Source organism: Homo sapiens, chromosome 17 (assembly GCF_000001405.40).
Source record: "Homo sapiens chromosome 17, GRCh38.p14 Primary Assembly".
Taxonomy (NCBI): domain Eukaryota; kingdom Metazoa; phylum Chordata; class Mammalia; order Primates; family Hominidae; genus Homo; species Homo sapiens.
In genome coordinates, this window is record NC_000017.11 from 40,530,988 (window position 1) to 40,553,707 (window position 22,720).

Below are 22,720 nucleotides of genomic sequence, written 5' to 3' on the forward strand. Positions count from 1 at the left end.
GGGGATCCAGGAGAGGAAAGAGCATAGCAAATGCCTTGATGGGAGAAGAAGAGCCTGGCCTGTCTGAGGCCAGAGAAGAGGCCACTGTGGTTAGCGTGTGGAGAGCGAACAGAAAGGCGAGTTGAGCTTGGAGAAAGCAGGCGGAGCCACATCTGGCCAGGCCTTGTTGGGCTGGTTAAGAATTCAGCCTAAAGCAATGGTAATGGCCTGGGGCAGGCACCAACTGAACCTTTTTCAAAGGCGAGTCCTGAGTTGCCTCCCTCCTCTGATGTTTGATCTCTGAAGGTGCCCATGTTGCCTCCATCCTGCCACCCACCCCACCCCCAATCTGGCAAAAAGCCACTCACTCACCCAGCAGGGACTTTCCACTAAGTCTGGTGGGGGCGGGGGACCAGGGGGACCAGGGGGCTGTTGCTTGAGAGAAATGGGTGTGGGCATTTACCAACGGATTTAGAAAGTTTCCATATTAGACAAGTAACTTGAGAAAATACTGTTTTTGTTATTGAGAAGATGCTATAAATGTTCAAGTATGTGGTAGGCATACCACGCGTCCTTGTGTAATCCCCTCCCCTGAGTGTAGGCTGGACCTGGTGACTTGCTCCTAATGAGTAAAATATGGTAAAAGTGGGGGAATGTCACTTTTGAGATTAGACTATACAAAACTGGGACTCCCCTCCTGCTCACACTCTTCGAGACTTCTTTCTTATGTGTTCTGATGAAGCAGCTGCCATGTTGGAGGCTGCCCCATGGAACGGCCAACGTGCTGAGGAACAGAGGGCACAGGCAGTGAAGGGCATCGGGGCCTTGAATCCAGTGGTCCACGAGGAACTGAATCCTGCCAGCAACCACTCGAGTAAGCTTGGTATTGGGTCCCCAATTGAGCCTTGAGATGACTCCAGCTCAGCTGACAGCTTGACTGCAGCCTGCAGAGGTGCTGAAGTGGAGGACTCAGCTAAGCTGCACCTGGATCTGTGACCCACAGAAACTGTGAGATGATAAAAGTTGTTGTTTCAAGACACTGAGCTTTAGGGTACTTTATTATGCATCAAGAGGCAACTAGTACAAAGTATAATTTGGAGGAGACCAGCCATACCTGTACCCTCCTTAAGTATACATTTGTATAAGTTGAAATCATGGTGGGTGCACTAATTTTGAAGTCTTAAAAAATCACTTATCATTATGGGGGAGATATCATTCATCAGGGTCCATGGTCTGTGTATGTATCAGAGTCTGGCCAGAAAACAGAAACCACACCAGGTATCTTAACAAAATTTAATATGATGAATTAGATGGCTTAATAACAAGTACAGTGTGAAAGGTGAAAATCATCAATAACCAATCATCAAAATCACTCTCAGAAAATGTCATACATCATCAGGACCTGTGGCCTTGGAAACTCAAAAGCCAAGAATTATTGAGCTTATTGTGTTTGTTGCATTTAAGCTTCTCTTCTGTTCCTTTGTGGTGTCAGAGGCTGAGTTTATTTTGAACATGAACAGAGAGACTTCTCTCTCCTTGACAAGCGTGATTTGTTGAATTAGCTAGTTAGGTGGGAGTGTAGTGGTGATACACTGTGTAGTAGAAGCATTCTCCATGTTTCCATTCCCCATCACAGTCACACAGCTGTGGATTTCCAGGCCTGATTGTCCATTGTGTTGATGTCCCAGTTTATTAAACCACTTCCTTATTGTGGTTCCCAGTTTTTGACCTTTAAAGAAAGACTTCAATGCACACATGTATGCAGATAACACTTGGCTTCGTTTGGATAATTTCCTTGGAATAATTTCCCAGGGAAAGAGATTACTGGGTCAAAGGGGGAGGAAGAGCTTCATGCCTTTTGCTGGTAATTGCTTTACTGCTTTCCAAAGGCACTATACCAACCCAGCATCGACAGTTTATAGTGGATGAGGGGTCAGCTTCAGGGCACCAAGTTATTCACTCTTAGGAAATCAGCTTCCAGGTCCTTCATCAACCACCCAAAAGGGCCTGTAGATGTGAGAAGTGGAGTCCAGCACAGAGAATCCCGGGCTGAGAAGTAGGATGTCTGAAAGTCCAGCCTCGAGGCAGCAGAGTGAGCAGTTAACAGTATGACCTATGGACAACAGATCCTGAGTTCGAATTCTGCCTTCACCACTAAGTGACCCTGGGCAAGTTACTTAATTTTTCTAAGTCATTAGTTTTTTCATCTATAAAGCAGGAATTATAGCAACACTAAGCCTTGAGGAGGTGAGAGGAAGATTAAACGAGTCATGACATGTGAAGTGCTTAGACCAGGGACTAGCACTTGGTAAATATGTAGAGTGAGTGGTATTACCATTTCTATTATTCAGACGGAGACTCCATCTCCATCAGCCCTGCTTCTGTAGTGGCTGACCACCTCCTCTTCTGGGTTTCCACGTGAGACCCCACCCTGGTTCTTCAGTTTTTCCTGGGATCTCGTCTCTCTGAGACCAAGAAGCAGTCTTAGCTTTGAGATATTGAGTTGGATGGTCCTTGAATGCCCCCTTGTGGACAGCTGGCTTTCTTTCACTCTTTCAGCTGAAGAGGAAAACTGGCTGTGTGTGTGTGTGTGTGTGTGTGTGTGTGTGTGTGTGTGTGTGTGTCTCGGGGTGGGGAAGAAGGTGGGGGAGGCCTCCATGTTTGCAGACAAAACAGGAAATAGCACGTCATGGCATCTTTCTTGCCGGCTAGGAAGGCATGGGTGTATGGGTCTCTGTACACTTACATAAACATGGAGGGGAGCTGCATGTGCTGGTGTGCAGGTGTGTATGTGGGCATACACTTGATACCACTCTCCTTGTTACTGGGGTCTCTCACTGGGTTCTACTGAGACGATGTGATTAATGTGATTTGAAAAATGAAAGCCCTGTGCACACACGAGGACATTGTTATGTAGAATAGCTTGTATAACCATTCGGTTGATCCTTTCACTGATTTGGACATTCAGTCCCACAGTTGTTTATTGAGTACTTACTATGTACCGGGTCTCCTGAGGTCTGGGGAGGCTACAGTGACCAAGACAGAATCTGTTTCCATCCTCTCACAATCCAGTGGGTGAGACAGACAGGTGAGTAAACCTGTGGCGTGCTAGTCCAGCACTTGGTAAATATTCAGTAAATATGAAGAGTGAGTGTTTTTACCATATTCCCAGAGGAGGGGCAGAGCGGCTGTGGAGGGGGAAGGAAGGCTGCCTGGAGGAGGTGACATCTGAGCTGAGCTATGAACTGTGAGTGATCTATCCTCTCCCTGGCTTTGGGGCAGAGGGCTTGGTACAAAAAGCATTAGTGGGGTTTTGGAAGTGCAGGCTGTAACCCCAACTCCCTGAGCAAGTCCTTTTTTTTGGGCCGGAGTTTCCTCCTGGACTAAGTCAGGGGATTTGGCCATGAAAGCCACAGTTTCCATCAACTTTGATGTTTTCTGACCTTTTATTCCCTCAGCCTGAGGAATTCCCATTTCTTCCACTGGTCTTTCATGCCCCATCCTCTTCCCTAAAGAAATGAAAACCAGACTGAGTGATAAAAAGCAGTGAGACATTGGTATACACATGTAGGACACACACACACACTCTCACACACACACACTTTCTCACACTCTCTCTCACACACACACACACACTCACACACACACACACACAGACACACACACTCCTCTATTCCCGCCCTACCCCTGCTCTGCTGGAAACCTCGAGCTGCCTCCCAGGTCAGAGTGGTCTGACAAGGGAGGGGTGGAGTGCAGAGGCAGAGTGGAGGTGAGAGCTCAGCAGACCCAGTTTCTTTTATGCTTGGCCACTCAGGCAGGTCACCTTGGGGAGGTTACTGAGCTTCCCAGAGCCTGCTTCCAGCTCAGCAAAGTACATACCCACCTGGCAGGGCTTCCGTGATGATTAGAGCTGCTATATGCGAAATGCGCCCCCCGGACTCTGTGTAGGACCTAGCAGGCTCTCGGAAAATGGGAGCTGAAAAGTAATGATATTACAAAATATCTAGTGTGGTGGCTCACACCTGTAATGCCAGTACTTTGGGCAGCTAAGGCGGGCAGATCACTTCAGGTCAGGAGTTCAAGACCAGCCTGGTCAACATGGTGAAACCCCATCTCTACTAAAAATACAAAAAAATTAGCCAGGCGTGGTGGCGGGGGCCTGTAATCCCAGCTATTTGGGAGGCTGAAGCAGGAGAATTGTTTGAATCCGGGAGGCTGAGGTTCGCAGTGAGTTGAGATCGTGCCACTGCACTCCGGCCTGGGCGACAGAATGAGACTTCGTCTAGAAAAAAAAAAAAAATCTAGTGTGGGTCAGACTCTTGTGTCTGCAGGAGGGAAAGGTGTGATCTTTCTTCCACTCTGATCTTCACAGTGAGAATGGTCTGGGGAGGATAGCAGACATGTGCCAAGCTCACTGTAGGTGGTGAGGCACTCTGGTTCCAGTTTAGAATGCAATTTATTACTTGGGTCACTTTGGCCGAGTTATTTAACCTTTCTAAGCCTCAGTTTTCTCATCTATAAAGCAGGTACTTTAAAATAGCTCCCTTGTGGAAGTACTGTGAGGATTAAGTGAGATAATAAATGTAAAAACACTTCATGTAGTTCCTGGTATATAGTAAGTGCTCCATAAATTGATAGCTACCTGTATTGGTCAGGATATGCTAACTGGTGTAACAAATAGACCCAAGAATGTGTGATGGCTTAGAGACAATGGAATCTTGTTTCTTGCCCCTCTAATGGTCTAAGAAAATACCAGGTTAGCAGTGAGGCTCAACTAGAGACCAGGTTTCTGACAGCTCTGCCGTTTTTTTTTTTATTTTGAGACGGAGTTTTGCTCTGTTGCCCAGGCTGGAGTGCCGTGGTGCAATCTCGGCTCATTGCAACCTCCACCTCCCGGGTTCAAATGGTTCTCCTGCCTCAGCCTCTCGAGTAGCTGAGACTACAGGTGTGTGCCTGGCTAATTAGCTCTGCCATCTTTAACAGGTATCTTCTGAAATCACTTTGGCCATCGGCTTCTAGCTAGTGGGTGGGGAAGAGAGAGTGGAGAAGGCACATCAGCTTCTTAACTGCTTTGGCCCAGAAGTGCCACTTCAGCTCACATTCCATGGGTGAGAACTAAGTCACATGGCCCCATCTTAATGCCACGGGGGCTGGGAAATACAGTCACTGACTGGGCAGTGTCAGATCTCAGTGTCAACTCCATATACTTCTCAATGTCAACCCCACGCACTAGGCAAGGGGAAGCAGGAGTCTTTGGTGACAGAAATGTCTATTCCCATGATTGTTGTTGCTATTTCCATCCAGGACAGAGTGATAAGCCCTGGATGGGGGGGTGAAAGCATAGTAGGAGTTTAAAAAGTGGGGTGATCGGGGATTGAGCTGATTGGGGATCCAGCAGTGCTGCCCAGGGAAGACAGCGTCCAGGGGGCTTGGAGAGAGGCAGGAGTTCCACAGGGTGGGATGGAGAGAGCAGGGAGGGAAGGTCACTGTGAGCTGAGGGAGTCACATGAACGGTCAAGAGGCAGGAAAATCCAGGCCAAGAGAGAGTCCAAGGCGGGAAGGGGTGGAGAGGTGTGCTGGCAGCCCACCCGGAAGGCCTGGAACGTCAAGATAAGGGTGTGGAGACGCGGAGTCACGCATGGTCTCTCTGCAGCATAGTCCAGGGGAGTGGGTGGTTGTGGGATAAGAGTGCCAGGTGGGGAGGAGGAGGTGAGGAGGGAGAAAGAGAAAGCAGTTAGGGGAGGAAAGTCTGGGGTTCACAGAGGAGAGGCTGGAAGGTGTAGGAGGAAAGGGGGCTTGCCTGACCCCATGCTCATCCTTCTCCCTGAGGCTCTCCAGCTCCTCTGGGGCCCCAGTTGTCACCTGGCAGCCTCCTTCCTGGAGGTCCACCCCCTTGGGCCCCATTGCTCCATCCACAGGCAGAGGCTTGATCTCCTCTTTCTGCTTTGTTCTCCTTCCAGGAAGGAAGTGGCTCCAGATGCCGTGGGTGGGACATTCCTTGGCTCTGCTCGCTGTTCCCAGATTTCTCATGATTCCCGGCGACAGAGCTGGCATCTCTAATCAGCCTCAGAGAGGGGCAGAGTCTTGCTCAAGAACACCTTGCACCTCAGGAAGCCAGAGGCTCTTTTTGAGCTGTCTCAGCCCTCTGAGTGCAAGACCCACCTCCAGAGAGATGCTTTGGCAAGGTGATTCCCCCCCAGGTCTGCTGGGCACCTACCGTGTACCCTGCACCGTGACGGGCACCAGGAGACAAGACGGCTTCTACACTCAGGAGCTTATCATAGATTGGGGGAATGAGATATTACTTAGAGAACTATAAACCCTGGGAAGTACCACAAAAGAGGCACAGACCTATGGGGAACCAAAGAAAGGAGGATTCATGTTAAAATATTACTGGGGGCGGGGCCTGGTGGCTCACACCTGTAATCCCAGCTCTTTGGGAGGCTGAGGCGGGCGGATCACCTGAGGCCAGGAGTTCGAGACCAGCCTGGCCAACATGGTGAAACCCTGTCTGTACTAAAAGTACAAGAATTAGCCGGACGTGGTGGCAGGTGCCTGTAATCCCAGCTACTCAGGAGGCTGAGGCAGGAGAATCGCTTGAATGGGAGGCGGAGGTGGCAGTGAGCTAAGATCGTGCCACTGCACTCCAGCCTGGGTGACAAGAGTGAGACTGCATCTCAAAAAAAAAAAAATTACTAGGAGGAAGTGACATTTGTGATGGTTCATGAAGAAGGCATAAGATCTGACAGGTGAAGATGGCTGGGAGGTTATTTCAGGGAGAAGGGAGAGCCCACGCAAAGGTGGAGGAAAGAAGTCGGGTGTGGGGGCTACGCCTGTAATCCCAGCACTTTTGGAGGCTCAGGCAGGCGGATCACCTGACGTCAGGAGTTCGAGACCAGCCTGACCAATGTGGTGAAACTCTGTCTTTATTAAATACAAAAATTTAGCTAGGCATGGTGGCATATGCCTGTTAATTCCAGTTACTTGGGAGGCTGAGGCAGGAGAATCGGGAGGCGGAGGTTGCAGTGAGCCGAGATTGCGCCACTGCACTCTAGCCTGGTCAATAAGAACGAAATTCCATCTCAAAAAAAAAAAAAAAGAATCAAATCAGGTTCACCTTTAAAGGGAAGTATCAGGCCAGAGTTGAGGGAGAGCCACAAGCCTGGGCTTGCCTCTCAGCTTCTGACTGTGGGTCCTGGGCACATTGGTAAACCGTTCTGGGCCTTGGTTTCCTCAACGTGACGTGGAATAGCAGCACCCACCGCTCATGGTAAATGGAATAGCTGCTCTGGCTTATTTATAGTTGTGTTTAACAAATAGTTTTTCACTTGGAGTGGGTGGGGGCAGGGGGAGAGGATCAGTGAATCGGTGCCACTGGTGGTTCAGCCTGGAGGGTGGCTGTGGCTGCCTGTCCCTTTTCATCTTGTGCCTGAAATGTTTGGGGGAAGAAGGTCAGTGGTGGCTGGAAGCACTACCGCCTTCTCAGGCCTAGCTGGCTCCATCCCCTGCCCTCATGCTCACCTGGAGGGACGGTTATGGGACTGAGGTCTGTGTCATTCTGGCCACTGTCATGTCATAAGCTGCTCCAATCAGGCTGGCAGGAGCTCTGCAGCACTAGAGGCTGTGGGCTCCTGGGAGTGGAATGTGAATGCCTGGGAGGCCGGCAGCCTTGGGCCCCATGCCCACACTGGCACAGCCACTCGGTCCAGAAGAGGGGCAGGAATCCAGGTCACCAGCCGCTGCGACACAGGCTGGCTTGCCGTCCCCTTTCCTTTGGTTAATCTTCCCTATGAGGAGAGACAGAGAGGAAGAGTCTACAGGATACAGCTCATTTTGCCAGTTTTTTCCCAAAGTCCATCAGGAGGGACGTGTCTGAGCTGCCCACTTCCTTCGGCCAGCCTTGGAATGAGAGCACATGACTCATGGCCTCACTTCTCTAGACCTGGAAGGTAGTGGGAGAATCAGACAGATCTTGGTTCTAATCCTGGCTCTGCCACTTATTAACTAGGTAACCTTGTGCACGTTATTAACCTCTTCCAGCCTCAGTTTCCTTGATTGTAAAATGGGAATAATAACACCAACTCACAGTGTTATGAGAACTGGATGAGCTAATGGTTAGAGTTAACATAGTGACCAACACATATTGGGAGCCCTTAAATATCAGTTTCCTCCCTCCCTTCCTTCCTTCCTTCCTTCCTTCCTTCCTTCCTTCCTTCCTTCCTTCCTTCCTTCCCTCCTTCCTTCCTTCCTTCCTTCCTTCCCTCCTTCCTTCCTTCCTTCCCTCCTTCCCTCCTTCTCTCCTTCCTTCCTTCTATCTGGGGAATATGATGGCTGCCTTGAGGGCAGAGATCTGAGTTGAGAGAGCTGTACGTACTTAGAGGTGGCCTCCTTCATCATAGAACCCCTCAGAATCCCAGGCCAGAAGACTGGAGAACAACAGGAAATAGGTGATCTCCAAGCTTCCCACGCTGGCTGTACCCAATAGCTGATGAGATTTATCTGAGGCACCACTATTGTTAAAAGGAATGTAGTGATCTGAGCCCCAGGTGCAGAACCCTAGCATAGCGATGGGAGCGATTACAGCACTCACCACCTCTGGGGAGAGTCTGCTCTGGCACCCCTTGCTTTAGGGCCCAGGTGAGGCTGAGACAAGCAAGTGTGGCTACGTAGGGTAGCATGGGAGAGGTGGAAATAGCTGGACTGGGCTTTTCCCCTCTGGAGGACCAGTATCTCCTATCAAAACTTAACAGTATGGATGCCCCAGCCACTCTCTGCCAGCCAATTGACAAACAGCCAGCAGCTAATTCACACTAAAATGTTAATAGCAATAAAGGAATCAATGGTATTCACACCCTGGGGGTGTTGATAGCTGTTAATGGCTGTCAGGTTCTACACATGGCCTTCTCAGCAGCACCACTCTCCTCTCTGAAGCGCCTGTGGCTCAGCTGGAGAGCTGACTGCTGCAGAGTATAGAGGCCCACGTTTTGGCTCTAGTCTGTGGCTGGGAATCTAACCCAGGGGACACAAGCCAAAGTACAGGAGGCAGGCAGAACTGGAGTACAGGGTCACCTTGGTGACCACCGTCAGCTCCTAGAGCGCAGGTGAGCCAGTTGGCCTTATAAGCTTAGGTCAGATAAGATGAGACCAAGCGTGTGGCCCACCACCGCCCCTTGCTTCAAGAAAGGCAAGGTCTGGAAGGTGGAGGAGAGGTGGCATCTGGGGCAGAGTAGAGCATGGAGGTCCTCCGTGCACAGAGGAGCAAAGCTGTTGCCCCCTGCTCTTCTTCAACGTGGGCAGCTAGGACCTAAGCTCAGCACCACATCAACCTCATCTGACACGTGGCTGGAGGAACAGGGCAGTGGTGGCTGTGGTGGGTTGGCCACAGCCTCTCTTGGGCATGGCTGACCAGCTCTTTGGGCATAATGTAGCTCTTAGGAGGCCTAGGCCCAGGCTGAGCCCAGCGTGGGGGAGTAGGGAGTCTCAAACCTATTGGGCTAAAAATCAGCTGAGGGCATTGTTAAGATGCAGGTTCAGATTCCTTAGGTCTGGGGCCTGAGGCTCTGGTTTTTCACAAGCTCCTGGGTGGTGCTGAGGCTGCGGGTTCAGGTCATACTCTGAGCAGTGAGTGTGGATGCCTGGGAGTGAGAGGCTGAGCAAAACACTTTCCTGGCTGTGACCTTCGTGTCCCTTCCGGCTGTGACACTTTGTACATCGCCAAGACCACAAGTTGAGTGGGTGGTTGGGGCGCGGAGCTCCTGCACTCAGTTGCCCCACTGGCGGAGGAAGGTGGCTGCCCTTTGATGTGATGAAAAATAAGAACAGTCGCCAACCATTGAGAACTTACTCTGAGGACACCTCATCACTTGTATGTGGCAGAACATGGCCCTGAGATGTTTTTGAGGCTTGGAGGACCCTGAGTTATGAGAAAGTTTAGGGAGGGGAAGCACTGGTTTATTTGGGAATTATTCCCATCCCAGGTCTCTCTGGCTCTTTTGAGGGTCAAGGGTCTTATCAATCCCTTTCTCAGTGCCCAGCACAATGCCAAGAGTTCAGGGAGAAAGCAGATACCCCACAGAGACCTAGACAGGCCAGAGGCACTGTCCCTGGGCAGGGGAGGCAGGTCAGGCCGGCGGTGCTCACCCAGGGAGGCTCCAGGAACTCAACTCGGGCCTCTGATCAACCGCAGATAAACACTGAACTTTCTACCTGAGGAAGCTCCCTGGCAGGGCTGGGTTCCTGTCAAGGAGACAGAGAAAGTTTCCATTGAGTGGGGGTGTGTGCATGCGTGCGTGTGTGTGTGTGTGCATGTGTGCGAGTGTACGCGTGTGAATGCATGAGTGTGTGCGTGCATGTCTGTGTGCATGCATGTATGTGTGTGCATGTGTGTGTGTGTCTGTGTTTGTGTGTGTGTGCATGCGAACATGCACCGAGGTGCCCTATTATCTTTTCCTCTCTGCAGAAAATCAGGTCAGTGGTTTGACTGTTGTTGTTAACCGCAAGGTGGAGTGGGGAGGTGGCCTGAGATGCTGAGGCTGGGCTAGAGTATGAGGGCCAGGGTATGGGGCCACCAGGCTACAGGGCCCCCAGGAAGCAGTGGCAATGGATGCCAGTCTGGGGAGAGGGTGCTGCCTGCCATGTCCTGTTTCCCTCCTAGCATTACTCTCCCTTTCTTTAGGGCCTTGGCTGCCTGTCCTGGTAGCCGCTGTTGAATAACCCAGGGACTGTGGCTGAAGAGAGGCAGTCACTCTGCCTTGTGGCTCGGGACACGGTGGAGGGGTGGGAGGTGCGGGCAGGGCCCCCCCATGGGTAGTAGTAACAACAGCCAGGCTCTGGCAGTCGCACTTTCACACCGGAGTCCTCACCTCGCCCACAGTGCCCTGGAAGCATGAGAGCAGGTGTTATTGTTGAGGGCACTGAGAAAGAGAGAGAGAGGGGCCAAAGAGCTAGTTCAAAGGCATCCCGGTTCTCACTCTGGCCTCAGACTCCCCTTCTGGGGTCCTTGAGGGCCCCTAGGCCACCCCGAGGGGTTGGAGGAACACTTTGTCCATTCCCCGTGGCAGATGGAAGGACTCCGGAGCATGTCAGCTGCAGCCTGGGCCTCTGTTGGGTCCTCGGCTCTGGGTCTCTCACAGGCGGCCATCAAGGTGTTGGCTGGGGCCTTGGTCATCTCAAGGCTGGAGCAGGAAAGGACCTGCCTCCCCAGGCCCTAAGCTTGAATGGTGCTGGGGACAGGGGGCAGCACTCTTCTGGCACGGCAGCCCCTCCTCCGTCCTCTTGGCATCTTGTCCTTAAAGTTCATCGTTGCCTCGTCCGCTAACCTCCTCCCCCTCCTTTCCGCCTCCATCTCCCCAAGTCCTTCTCGCCTCTGCTTTTGCTTCCACGGCTGTTTCCTCACGGAGGCTCAGACAATAGAGGCTAATGATCCAACTGCTGAGAGCACACCCTCCTCTAGCAGCCAGAAATCATCTGTTACCCATCGCCCGCCCTCCCTGGGGCCCAGGCTTCCAGACTGAGACCTTTTCCTTCCCTCCCACTTCTTACTGGAAATGAGCCCCCGTCCTTCCACTCCCCCCTAACCCCCCAGGCCTCCCTTAGGGAGGTTCAAGGACTCGTCTCTGACTCCACCTATCTACTGGGTACCCCTCTGCAGGGGGGAGGCAGGGGCTGGTGCCCACGAACTCTGGAGGCCCTTCTGGGAGCACAGTCTTGCCATGACCTCTCTAGGTCAGCTCAGCTCCCTGTGCTGGACACAGACCCGGAGAACAGCTCAGCACGAGGTTACCAGGCTGACGTTGCACAGACTGTGCTGGAAATTACAGAGTGCCTTGGAGGGAAAAACAAACTGGGGTTTCAGTTCCCATGGAAACGACATCTATTTGCAGAGGTGCTTGCGTCAGAGCCCGGGACCCTGTGCTTGGCAGGGATGGGGTGGATGTTAAAAGGCAGGGTCATCTGTTGACTGTCTGGGACTCTTCCAGGACAGTGTCTGAAATGGGGCCCTTACCTTTAGCCATGACAAACAGCTCTTTCCACAGAGGGGCCTGTCTGCCTGGGCATGTCTCTGCAATGCTGGGGTTTTTGGGTAGATTTTAAACTTATGAGTCAAGGGTGTGGGAAGACCCCACATTCGCCATTCATGAGCATTTATTCCACGAGCATGTTTTGACCTATGATGTGCCAGGCACTGGGCTAGGCCAGCCAATCAGGAGTTGGTCTGGACCTGCTAAGTTTGGGGCCTAAAGTCTCCCTTCCTGGGAGGAGCTTTGGTCAGACAGGGGCAAAGTGGGGACCTGCCAGGGACCACGTGACGTGGGAGCACACAGGCTCAGCAATGCCAGTCCCCTCACTCTGTAACCAAAGCAAATGCCTTCTGTCCTCGTGTGTCACAGGGGAGTAATTCCTCATCTCACGGGGAAAGATGACCCCTAAACTAGCCACTGAGGTCCCCACAGCAGAGGCGATTATTCCAGCTATTGTTATGGAAGAGTGTCTATTGTTACCCTCTCTATCACTTTACACTTTACGAAGAGCTGTACATCCACTACCTCGTTTAATGTAACACTCCAGGGAGGTTTTAACAACATCACACCTGTTTTCAAACGGGGAAACTGCATCGAGGGAGGAGAAGGCACTTGTCAAGGTCACACGGATGATAAACGGTGAGACCAGTATGGGAATCTGAATGCCGGACCCCCTGCTTTGCCCCCTCCTCCCTGTCCTGGGGCACCTGGTGACCAGACCTCCCACCCTGGCAGGCCTCCAACCAGCCCGGCTGTTTCCCACGCCTGGGGAATGGGAACCAGCTGTGTGCTAGTGCGGTGGGGCATGGATTGTTCTGGATCTGGTCTCATGGAGACTGCACATCAGAAAGACCACAACCCTCAACTCTGCTGCTCACCCAAGTCACTTCACTCTTCCTTGACTCAGTTTCCCTCTCAGTAAGTTGACAGAAAGCCTGTGAGGGGATCTGAGTGACTTATGTCCTATAAGAAATCTGAAGAAATAGGCCGGGCGCAGTGGCTCACGCCTGTAATCTCAGCACCTTGGGAGGCTGAGGTGGGCGGATCATGAGGTCAGGAGTTTGACAGCAGCCTGGGCAACATGGTGAAACCCTGTATCTACTAAAAATACAAAAATTAGCTGGATGTGGTGGTGCGTGCCTGTAGTCCCAGCTACTTGGGAGGCTGAGGCAAGAGAATCACTTGAATCCGGGAGGCAGAGGTTGCAGTGAGCCGAGATCGCGCCACTGCACTCCAGCCTGGGTGACGGGGTGAGACTCCGTCTCAAACAGACAAACAAAAAAGAAATCTGATGAAATAGTTTCTTGTTGGTGGCCACTTGGACGACCTTTCCTCTCTCCTGTGGGTGACTGTAATTGGAATGGGGCACACTGGCATGCCCCTTAGGGCCCATTCGTTTTTCCCGAATCACTCTTTAAGAATCTGGTATCACCTAACAGAATGATGGGGTTTTCAGGGAAGGGACAGAGGCTGGGACAATTTTAAATAGGGATGCCTGTAATCCCAGCACTTTGGGAGGCCGAGGTGAGCGGATCACTAGAGGTCAGGAGTTCGAGACCAGCCTGGCTAACACAGTGAAACCCCGTCTCTACTAAAAATACAAAAAATTAGCTGGGCATATTGGCGGGCGCCTGTAGTCCCAGCTACTCGGGCGCCTGAGGCAGGAGAATGGCGTGAACCCGGGTGGCGGAGCTTGCAGTGAGCCGAGATCGTGCCACTGCACTCCAGCCTGGGCGACTGAGCGAGACTCTGTCAAAAAAAAGAAAAAAAAAAAAGCAAAGATTAGCTGGGCGTGATGGCGCATGCCTGTAATCCCAGCTACTCGGGAGGCTGAGGCAGGAGAGTCACTTGAACCTGGGAGGCAGAGGTTGCAGTGAGCCAGTGCACTCCAGCCTTAGCGACAGAGCAAGACTCTGTCTCTAAATAAATAAATAAATAAATAAATAAATAAATAAATTAGGAAGGTTAGGGTTGGGGGTGGAGAATACAGGTTGGGGGTAAAGAATAGAGGAGGAGGCCAGGCGCGGTGGCTCACACCTGTAATCCCAGCACTTTGGGAGGCCGAGGCGGGCAGATCATGAGGTCAGGAGATCGAGACCATCCTGGCTAACGCGGTGAAACCCTGTCTCTACTTAAAATACAAAAAATTAGCCGGGCATGGTGGTGGGTGCCTGTAGTCCCAGCTACTCAGGAGGCTGAGCCAGGATAATGGCATGAACCCTGGAGGCGGAGGTTGTGGTGAGCCGAGATCGCGCCATTGCCCAGCCTGGGCAACAAGAGTGAAACTCCGTCTCAAAAAAAAAAAAAAAAAAAAAAAAAAGAATAGAGGAGGAAGAAAAATTTCCAGGCCTTGGAGTCCTGCTTGGTTTGGGTAGGGGGTGGGGCAGGATGGGGCTGCAGGATCCTGAAGGTCCCTGAAGTGATGGTGGCCATGAGGCCATGAATTACATCCACCTCTGTGCTTGTACCTGGCTGTGAGGTGTGAAGTGAGACCAGGAGAAGATGGGAAATAAACGCGTTCCAAATGTCTGCTGTAATGAGGGGGTCTGGAGTTCCTGTGCCAAGAATCAGATTGCAGGCCTGATCACGAGACGAGCTGTTGATTGCTGCAGGAATCCAGGAGGTGTTGTGTCTGTGTGTGCCTTGCCACCCTGCAATGTAGAATTGGCTATCCCATTCCACAAAGGAGGAAGCTGAGGCCCGGAGTTACACGGCGTGCCCAAGGCTGTGTAGCTAGTAAGAAGGGAGGTGGGCATCCTCTGACTGACTCTGAGGGCGGGACCGCCCTGTGCTTGCGGGGAGCACAGGGGCATTGTTCTTACTGCTTTGGGTCCAAGACCTTCTGAGCTCTTATGAGACCACTGCTGGGGCCAGCTCACCTGGGGACTCAGTTCCTGCCCCCACTCCCCACCCGTTCTTTCTTGCCCTCTCTCTCTCCCTCTCCACCTCCATCCCTGTCCCCTTTCCGTCCATGCGCCCACCTCCCTGGCTCTCCCTTTCTTCTGGTCCCAGCCGCTGAGTGGGGTGGGTGAGCCCAGGGCCGAAGAGAGAGGTGGGAGATGTTTGCAGGTGGAGGACATGAACCTGTTTTCTCTCCAAGCCCCTTCCCTTCACATTGTTCTGCTGCCCCCAATGTTAAGTCAATTGAATTGTGTCAGCAGGCTGCAGGGCATAGGCTGCATGTTGTAGCGTTGCTTGTGAGCGTCTGGACCCCTTCTGGGTATCAATGTGTGTGCTTTGGCGCGTGAACATGGGGGGCTATTGCTGTTTGTGTGGGTGTTGCATTTGTGGCATGCATGTGTTTGTGCATCTGTGTGTATGTGTGTAGCGGATGCACTCTTGTCTATATAGGTAGGATTTTTTTTTTTTTAATTTTACTTTAAGGTCCAGGATACATGTGCGGAATGTGCAGGTTTGTAACATAGGTATACATGTGTCATGGTGGTTTGCTGTACCTATCAACCTATCATCTAAGTTTTAAGTCCCTCGTGCATTAGGTATTTGTCCTAATGCTCTCCCTTCCCTTGCCCCCTACTACCCGCTGACAGGCCCCAGTGTGTGATGTTCCCCTCCCTGTGTCCATGTGTTCTCATTGTTCAACTCCCACTTATGAGTGAGAACATGTGGTGTTTGGTTTTCTGTTCCTGTGTTATTTTGCTGAGAATGATGGTTTCCAGCTTCATCCATGTCCTTGTAAAGGACACGATCTCATTCCTTTTTGTGGCTGCATAGTATTCCATGGTGTATATGTGCCACATTTTCTTTATCCAGTCTATCATTGATGGGCATTTGGGTTCGTTCCAAGTCTTTACTATTGTAAATAGTGCTGCAATAAATATACGTGTGGATATGTCTTTATAGTAGAATGACTTGTAATCCTTTGGGTATATACCCAGTAATGAGATTGCTGGGTTAAATGGTATTTCTGGTTCTAGATCCTTGAGGAATCACCACACTGTCTTCCACAATGGTTGAACTAATTTGCACTCCCATCAACAGTGTAAAAGTGTTAAAAGGTATGCTTAAGCAGGTAGTGAACGCTCTCATGAGTGCACACCCACAGGAGCAACTGCAGAACCTGTAGGGCCCATTGCAAAATGTAAATGCTGCGCCCCTTGTTTAAAAATAATTAAGAATTTCAAAGTGCAGGCAGCAAAGCATTATACCCAGCATGGGCCTTAGTGCAGGGCCTTAGTGCAGGGCCCAGAGTGACTGTGCAGGTCGCGGCCCATGAAGCTGGTCTTGTATGGGGGCAAGTTTTCTATTTGTATGTGTATATGTGTATGCTGATTGTGTGACTGCTGTGTTGGTGTGTGTGTGTGTGATGTGTGCGGTGGTGTTTCTTGTGTGAATATTGAGCATCTGTATGTGTGGGCTGTTTGTGAGGTGGGACAGCTCTTGTGAGTGTGAGTGTTCTTGGGCACGAAATCTGAACCCTTTCCTCACCACCCCAAGGACAGACTCCCTTAGCAGCTGCCTATGCCTGCCACCGATGCCTATCAAAGGAGAAGTGTGTTTTATTTTTGGCGCCCTTGCCGCCTATTCCCATGGTGCCCTGGGAGGCTTTTGTTTGACTGCCTTTGTTGGAAGGGTGACAAACACTTCCCTCCACCTGCTGCCATGGTGGCCCCACCAGAAACCACAGCTGGGGGTGGAGCAGCTTCCTCAGCCCCTCACACACTTGCCCTGCACCTCGTGCAAGCATCAACATGCCCAGAGCCCTACCCCGCTGAGCACTGGCCTCCCAGACTCTGCCCAGACAAGGCACCCATAGCAAGTCAGAGCTGGAGGCGATGGGTAGAAATGATTTGGTCCAGCAACCTCATTGTACAGCTGGGGAGCTGGAGGCCCAGAAAAGGGAGGTGACCTGCCCATATTGCCCAGTGACTAGTCTGTGGCAAAGCCATCTCAGCCCTCTCAGTCATCTGCAGGGCTAGCCCATGGAGGAAGCCTAGGTAAGAAGCAGGGCCTAGAGGGGAGAAGCAGGGACAAGGTACTGTGGAGCAGCAAAGACCTGGTTATTGCCCAGCTGTGGGGGTCACAGCCCCTGGCAGGTGGGGGCTGTGTCTTTGTTATTTGATTCTCCCTTCTCCCAGGTCAGAGCTCTGTGTCTGGCAGGGTTTGAAAGATGTTGGCTGGACACAGCACAGTGCCTGGCACTCAGTAGGGGCTCCAGAAATATTTGGTATTAAACAGCTGTTTAGTTGAACGGTGAAGTAGGGTGACTAAAGCAAGAAATTTGGAGGCAGCTAGAACTGGTTGAAATCACTTAGTAGCTGTGTGACATTGATAAAGTTACTTAACCTCTCTGAGCCTAAGTTTCCTCATTTATTAAATGAGACTCTAGTAGAGTTGTTGTGGGGATTAAATGAGATAAGATACTGATGCTTAATACAGTGTATAGTACGTAACAAAATCTTAATAAAGTTGCTAGCTGTGTCACCACAGGTAAGTTACATGAGCTCTCTAAACCTGTTTCCTTCTCTGTTGTCATAAGAATTCAATGAAAGGTTGTATAGCTAGCCTAGTCCTTGGTGCATCACGGGCACTTAGTAAATGTTAGCCTGTCTCCCGCCTAGGTTCATTACCCCTCCACCTCTTCAACGTCTCTTTCCTCTGCCCCCCAGCCTCTGTGATCGCTGCCATCCCTTCCATGGCATCTCATCTCTCATACCTTCTGTCTCCCAGCCTCTGACACTCCCAGCAACAAAAGCTCACAAGGTCTTTCGGTCCATGGTTTCCTCAGGGTTCGGCTCTGATGAGCATGGGTGGGAGGGGGGCAACTGAGAAGGAGGCTGAGGACAGGACAGGTGTAGTCCTTGGACGAAAATCCCAGTTCTGCTTTTGACAAAGGATTTAAGGATTCCGGCGTGTCTAGCCCTGTGTCTTGCCCTGGAGAACAAAGGCAGAGGGATGTCTTCCTGAACAGCCCAGGCACAAAGCTGCCACCATTCTTCCCATTCCCTTCCTCCTGATTTCCAAGTCCAGAGGTTGTCAATAGCACTCTCAGCAGCTGAGCTTCCCTGAAATCGGGGTGTGTGGAGGAGGGCAGGTGGCAGGTAAGAGATACTAGTGCAAGCAAGAGGGCGTGTCCAGAGAGTCAGTTGTAGGAGAAGTCTCTGGAGCTTCGGGGCAGGAGGCAGAGCTGGCTCCCACATAGGTGACCCCCTAGCACCGGCTTCACCATAGGCCTGGGCCAGGCCACAGAAAACACCCTCTGGGCCTGGGAAGCAGATTGAGCCATTCAGTCTTTACACGTGGTCAGGTTTCTGCTTCAGTCACTTGAGTGCAGTTTCATAAACCAAATGAGATCAATGAGCTTGTCCTTTCCAGGCCTCTTTTTAAACATTGGGAAATGGTTTGGGGGCATCTCATCTGCTGCATCTGCTGTGCTTCCCAATGTCAGATATTATTTACTTGGAGCAAATATAAACTATTCTGTCCTAAATAAACTCTGACACAGGAACAAGAGGACTTCAGGGCAAGAACCATCTCCTTACCTTCCCTCTTGCTAGTGGGCACGGATATGTGACCTGGAGACCTATTGCATCATGCAGGAACTGAGCCAGTCCAGAGCTGGCCAAGCCTGTGCGGAGATGTTTATTTACCCAGAGATGAGAACCTGGAGGCCACACTATGTGGTGGTTACTGTACCACGTAGGACAGCCCAGCTAGCGAAGTCCCTGGGGTTAGTGAACAACACACAAAAATAAGGTTATATCCATCCTCAAAGTGAATATGGGCAGGAGAGAATCTGACAGCGGCAGAGGAGTCTGAATTGGGTCATGCACAGACACAAAGAGAGGAGCCCGTGGGGAATACACATCCTGGCGTTTCTGATTTCGCACGAGATCAGCTGAGATTCGCTTAGTCTGGAGCAGCTCTCCACAGAAAAGGGCCTGGGGAGCTTTTTCTGCACACAGACTCCTGTCTGTGTCTCTGCCTGGGCCCAAGAGAAGTGAAGGAACAGAGGGGGTGGCTGCTGGAGGAGTTGGGACTTCTCAGACAGCTGCTCCCGTGGGTTGGAGTGCTAGGAGGGCTTGCTTTTCTGAAGCCTGATAGGGTTGCTCTTTTGAGTTGAGGGAGAGGCCCCCCCCCAACCTTTTTTATTCTCCTTGGAGTTTCTCTAGGGTCTCAGACCAGAGACACATGACCGATTCTAACCATCTTCTCTGCAAAGAAGGCCATGGGCCCACCTGTCTCTAAGACTAATAGAGCCCCCTTCTCCTCACCTGAGATTGGGAGACCTGGGGAGGCTCTATGTGTGTGTGTGTGTGTGTGTGTGTGTGTGTGTGTGTGTGTGTGCACATGCATGTGTGTGCATGCAGGATGGGACATCTAACTACCCACTGAAGATTTGCTTCAAGTCCCGCCCCCAGTGTATATTCCCTAAAACCCATTCCTGCCCCATCTTCCCCCTGCCTTTCCCCCATCTCCTTTGCCTTAATTCCCCCCACAATCCCTTTAGGTCTGTTTCTTTTCCTCCAACTGTTCACCCTCAACAAAGACATGTAACTGAGAACCATTCCCAGAGAAGACGGCCCATCTTCCTTTCTTAAAAAGATCAGTTGCCTGATTTCCTTTGGGACCGCTGCCATATTTCTTTTATATTTCATTCATTCTCCAGACTCAGTGATAAGGACAGGAACTATTTAAAGGGGAGAAGGGAGGTTCTCCTTAAGGACCTAATCAAAGGACAAGATGAACGGTGCCTGCCGGAGAGAACGAGACAGCGTGGGATGAGGGCGGGTGCCACGGTGGATGTGCAGGGATGTTCCCGTGAGCCCAGCAGGGTCTGGTGGGAAGAGCTCTGGTTAGGAGCCCAGGGAACTAGGTTAAAGTTCCAGCATTGCAAAGACCTCCCAAGAGACCTCAGGCTAGTTGCTTCCCTCTCAGAGCACGAGTTGACTCACCATGCAATGGATGGAAAGGCCAGATTCACTCATCTCTAAATTGCCTTCCAGCTTGAATTATAAATTCTGTGGGGATGGAAATGGGCTAAGGAATTGAATTTGGTTTCCTTGTGGTTAGCAACTTTTTTTTTTAAGTTACCGTTTCTTAAACATCTCCTAAAGATTACCAACAACACATATGTAAGTTTTTCTAAGCATTTTACATATATGGATTCGTTGCCTTCCACAACAATCCTAGGACATAGGTACCATTAGTATCCCCATTATACAGATTAAGAAACTGAGGTACAGGGAGGCTAAGTAACCAGCCCAGGCAGTGGAGCCGGGGTTCAAACCAGGCAGTCTGGCTGCAAAGTCCCTCTTCCTCACCACCACACTCAACATTCCAGGCACTGTGCTAACTGTTTACACAAATCCTCTCCATTTTGCAGTTGAGAAACCCAAGACTCAGACCAGTTGGGCAACAGCTGAAGGTCACATAGCTGGGAAGCAGTAGAGATGAGATTCAAAGTCGGCAGAGCTCCAGAGTCTCTGCTCTCCCCCACACCCTCCTGCAACCCTGCCAGACGCTCAGGCTTCCAAAGCAAGTTTAACCAATATCCCTGCATTGCCACGCCTCTTCAGGCAAGTCAGCTTCTCCCCGCTGGGCCTCAGTTTCACCATCTAGAAAATGACTGGGGGATTGGCCCAGCTGATCTTTGAGGTCCCTTGGAGCTCTGTGAGTCTGTGATGAGAAAGGTGTGGTGCTTCTAGCTGAAAGGGAAGACCTGTGGCCTGGGAATACCTTGGGCTTGGCTTGGGGTTGCAGCCAGCAAGGATGAGGGAGATGAGGGCCTGGGGATGAAATGAAAAGGAAATTTCAGGTGACTGGAGAAGGCTTATTGGCTGTGAACCTGGGAAGAGGGTTCAGATGTATGAAGCAGGTAAGAAAAGAAGAGAGAAGCCCTGGGTGGGCCTCCCAGGGGGCCTTTTCCTTCTTCCCAGGGGTCACCCCAAGCTCAAGATGGGCACATGAGAGCCTCGGGCAAGGGAGCAGGGATCAGGCCAGCACTGAACCGAGGTCAGAACTTCTGAGACACAGCAGTTCGAGGGAATTGACATTGCTGGGGGTTTTGTTTTCTCTGTAAATATTTGGAGATGTCCAGTTATTCTAGAAAAATGTATCTGCAGCTGAGGGGGCGCATTTGTGCGGCTGGCCTGGCTGCCTTTTGCATGACTGCTCTGTTACATTCTTCCCCTTCAGGAACCGAGGGTTGTTTTCCCATCTGTAACCTCATTAGGATGTCCACACCAGCGGGCTCCACACGCACATGCGCTCCGGCAGGTTCCCCTCGGGGACACACACGCACACTGGCATTGCCCCCTGGCCACACGCTCACGCACACAGTCGCAGCTGTGCCTTTTAATATTTAATGCCATTGCTGCAAACGCCGCTCCACGCTGACTGCATCCGTGCCAGGCTCATTCCTCTCAGGGCGCCAATTCCCGGCTTGGAGACCAGCTGACAAATCTTGTTAAAAACCTTCCAGCCCAGTGCATCTCTCGGAGGAGGGTAATGTCACGTGCTTGCGAGATGAGCGAATGGGTGTCATTACCAGGCAGCTCCATTTTCAACGAGGCTCTTTCCACTTGGGGAAATGGATGGAATCACCTATTGCGTGAGTGCCTCAGCCCTCCCTCTAGCTCCCCACGGCCCAGAGCTATTGCAGCTCTGGGTCCTTCAGACCCCTCTTGACGCATTGTAGGTTGGACTGACCTGCTCTCTGGCTTGCAGAAGTCACGGCTCTGGGTGGCACCAAGGCACGAAATGACACGGACACCTGGCCTGTGTGGGGGCCTTTGTCTGTCCCTCTCTCCCTGCTCCTCCACAGTCAGTATCCACACTATGGTTTGAATGTATGTATCTTTCCGACATTCATATGGTTGGAACATAAACCCCAAGGCAATGGTATGAGAAGTTGGGGGGGGCCTTTGGGAGTTGATTAGGTCATGAAGGCTCCACCCTTGTGAACGGGATTAATGCCCTTATAGCAATAAAAGAGCAGGAGGGAACTAGTTAGGCTCATTGTGATCTTCCACTCTTCTACCACATGAGGACACAGTGTTTGTCCCCTCCAGAGGGCATGGCAAGGCCCCATCTCGGAAGCAGAGAGAGTCCACACCAGACACTGAATCTGTTGGCGTCTTGATCTTGGACTTCCAATCCTCTAAAACTGTGAGAAATACATTTCTATGGTTTGTAAATTACTCCATCGGTGGCATTTTGTTGTACCAGCAGGAAGGGACTATGACATACACCACGGAGGCCACTGCTGCTACAGTGGCTAGCAGAGAGGATCATGGGTGGTTCCAGCTCTCATGCCAGCAAAGGGTCTCATCCCTGACCCCTAGTCCAGTATGCTGTGGTCTCCAAGCCCACAGAAAGGCCCTCCCTCCAAACCCCAGCTTTCAGAGTCTAAGGGGCTGACAAAAGGTTAAGGGCTCTAGTTCTGGTCTGAGCTGGGACAGGTGAGCAGGCTACTGTGCAAGAGCTGCTAAATGCAGAGTCCCCAGGTATCGAGGTTACCCGGAAAAGTTGGCCTTCCCAAAGCTGCAGTAGGATCAGCATGTCCGGTTCAGTGCTGACTGTGCAGGCTTGGGGCCTATCCCTTGAACTCTGGAAGGGTATTTGCAAGATGGACCTCCTGTCCTCATCTTCCTTCTACCTTTCAGCCTCTTGGTCCTGTGTCACCAGACGGGCTCAGAGCATTCCTGAGCAACTTTGTGGTTCTGAGCGTCTCTAAGAAACGAGGCCTGGGAGAGGGCAGG

At 51.4% G+C, this 22,720-nt stretch overlaps 1 long non-coding RNA gene across 1 annotated transcript, besides 7 other annotated features; it reads right to left on the reverse strand.

Moving 5' to 3' along the window:
• Positions 1–1,258: 1,258 nt before the first annotated feature.
• On the reverse strand, positions 1,259–3,487 carry LOC107985090 (uncharacterized). Its single transcript, XR_001752884.2, has 2 exons — positions 3,423–3,487; positions 1,259–2,092 (listed from the first exon to the last, which is right to left on the reverse strand). It is a non-coding gene; the product is annotated as an uncharacterized LOC107985090 (long non-coding RNA).
• Positions 5,103–5,977: a transcriptional cis regulatory region, noted in NCBI's record as "candidate enhancer chr17.2443 targeted for multiplex CRISPR interference". NCBI's record gives its function as "positively regulates IGFBP4 gene expression with high confidence in K562 cells {active_cell/tissue: K562}" and the evidence as "EXISTENCE:mutant phenotype evidence [ECO:0000015][PMID:30612741]".
• Positions 5,517–5,700: a silencer, noted in NCBI's record as "fragment chr17:38692756-38692939 (GRCh37/hg19 assembly coordinates)". NCBI's record gives its function as "represses an EF-1alpha promoter that drives an FKBP-Casp9 reporter gene in an ReSE screen in HepG2 liver carcinoma cells {active_cell/tissue: HepG2}" and the evidence as "EXISTENCE:reporter gene assay evidence [ECO:0000049][PMID:32094911]".
• Positions 11,561–11,690: an enhancer, noted in NCBI's record as "active region_12147". NCBI's record gives its function as "activates an Ori minimal core promoter by ATAC-STARR-seq in GM12878 lymphoblastoid cells {active_cell/tissue: GM12878}" and the evidence as "EXISTENCE:reporter gene assay evidence [ECO:0000049][PMID:35858748]".
• Positions 11,971–12,140: an enhancer, noted in NCBI's record as "active region_12148". NCBI's record gives its function as "activates an Ori minimal core promoter by ATAC-STARR-seq in GM12878 lymphoblastoid cells {active_cell/tissue: GM12878}" and the evidence as "EXISTENCE:reporter gene assay evidence [ECO:0000049][PMID:35858748]".
• Positions 16,364–16,413: a silencer, noted in NCBI's record as "silent region_8494". NCBI's record gives its function as "represses an Ori minimal core promoter by ATAC-STARR-seq in GM12878 lymphoblastoid cells {active_cell/tissue: GM12878}" and the evidence as "EXISTENCE:reporter gene assay evidence [ECO:0000049][PMID:35858748]".
• Positions 16,564–16,803: an enhancer, noted in NCBI's record as "active region_12149". NCBI's record gives its function as "activates an Ori minimal core promoter by ATAC-STARR-seq in GM12878 lymphoblastoid cells {active_cell/tissue: GM12878}" and the evidence as "EXISTENCE:reporter gene assay evidence [ECO:0000049][PMID:35858748]".
• Positions 22,617–22,676: an enhancer, noted in NCBI's record as "active region_12150". NCBI's record gives its function as "activates an Ori minimal core promoter by ATAC-STARR-seq in GM12878 lymphoblastoid cells {active_cell/tissue: GM12878}" and the evidence as "EXISTENCE:reporter gene assay evidence [ECO:0000049][PMID:35858748]".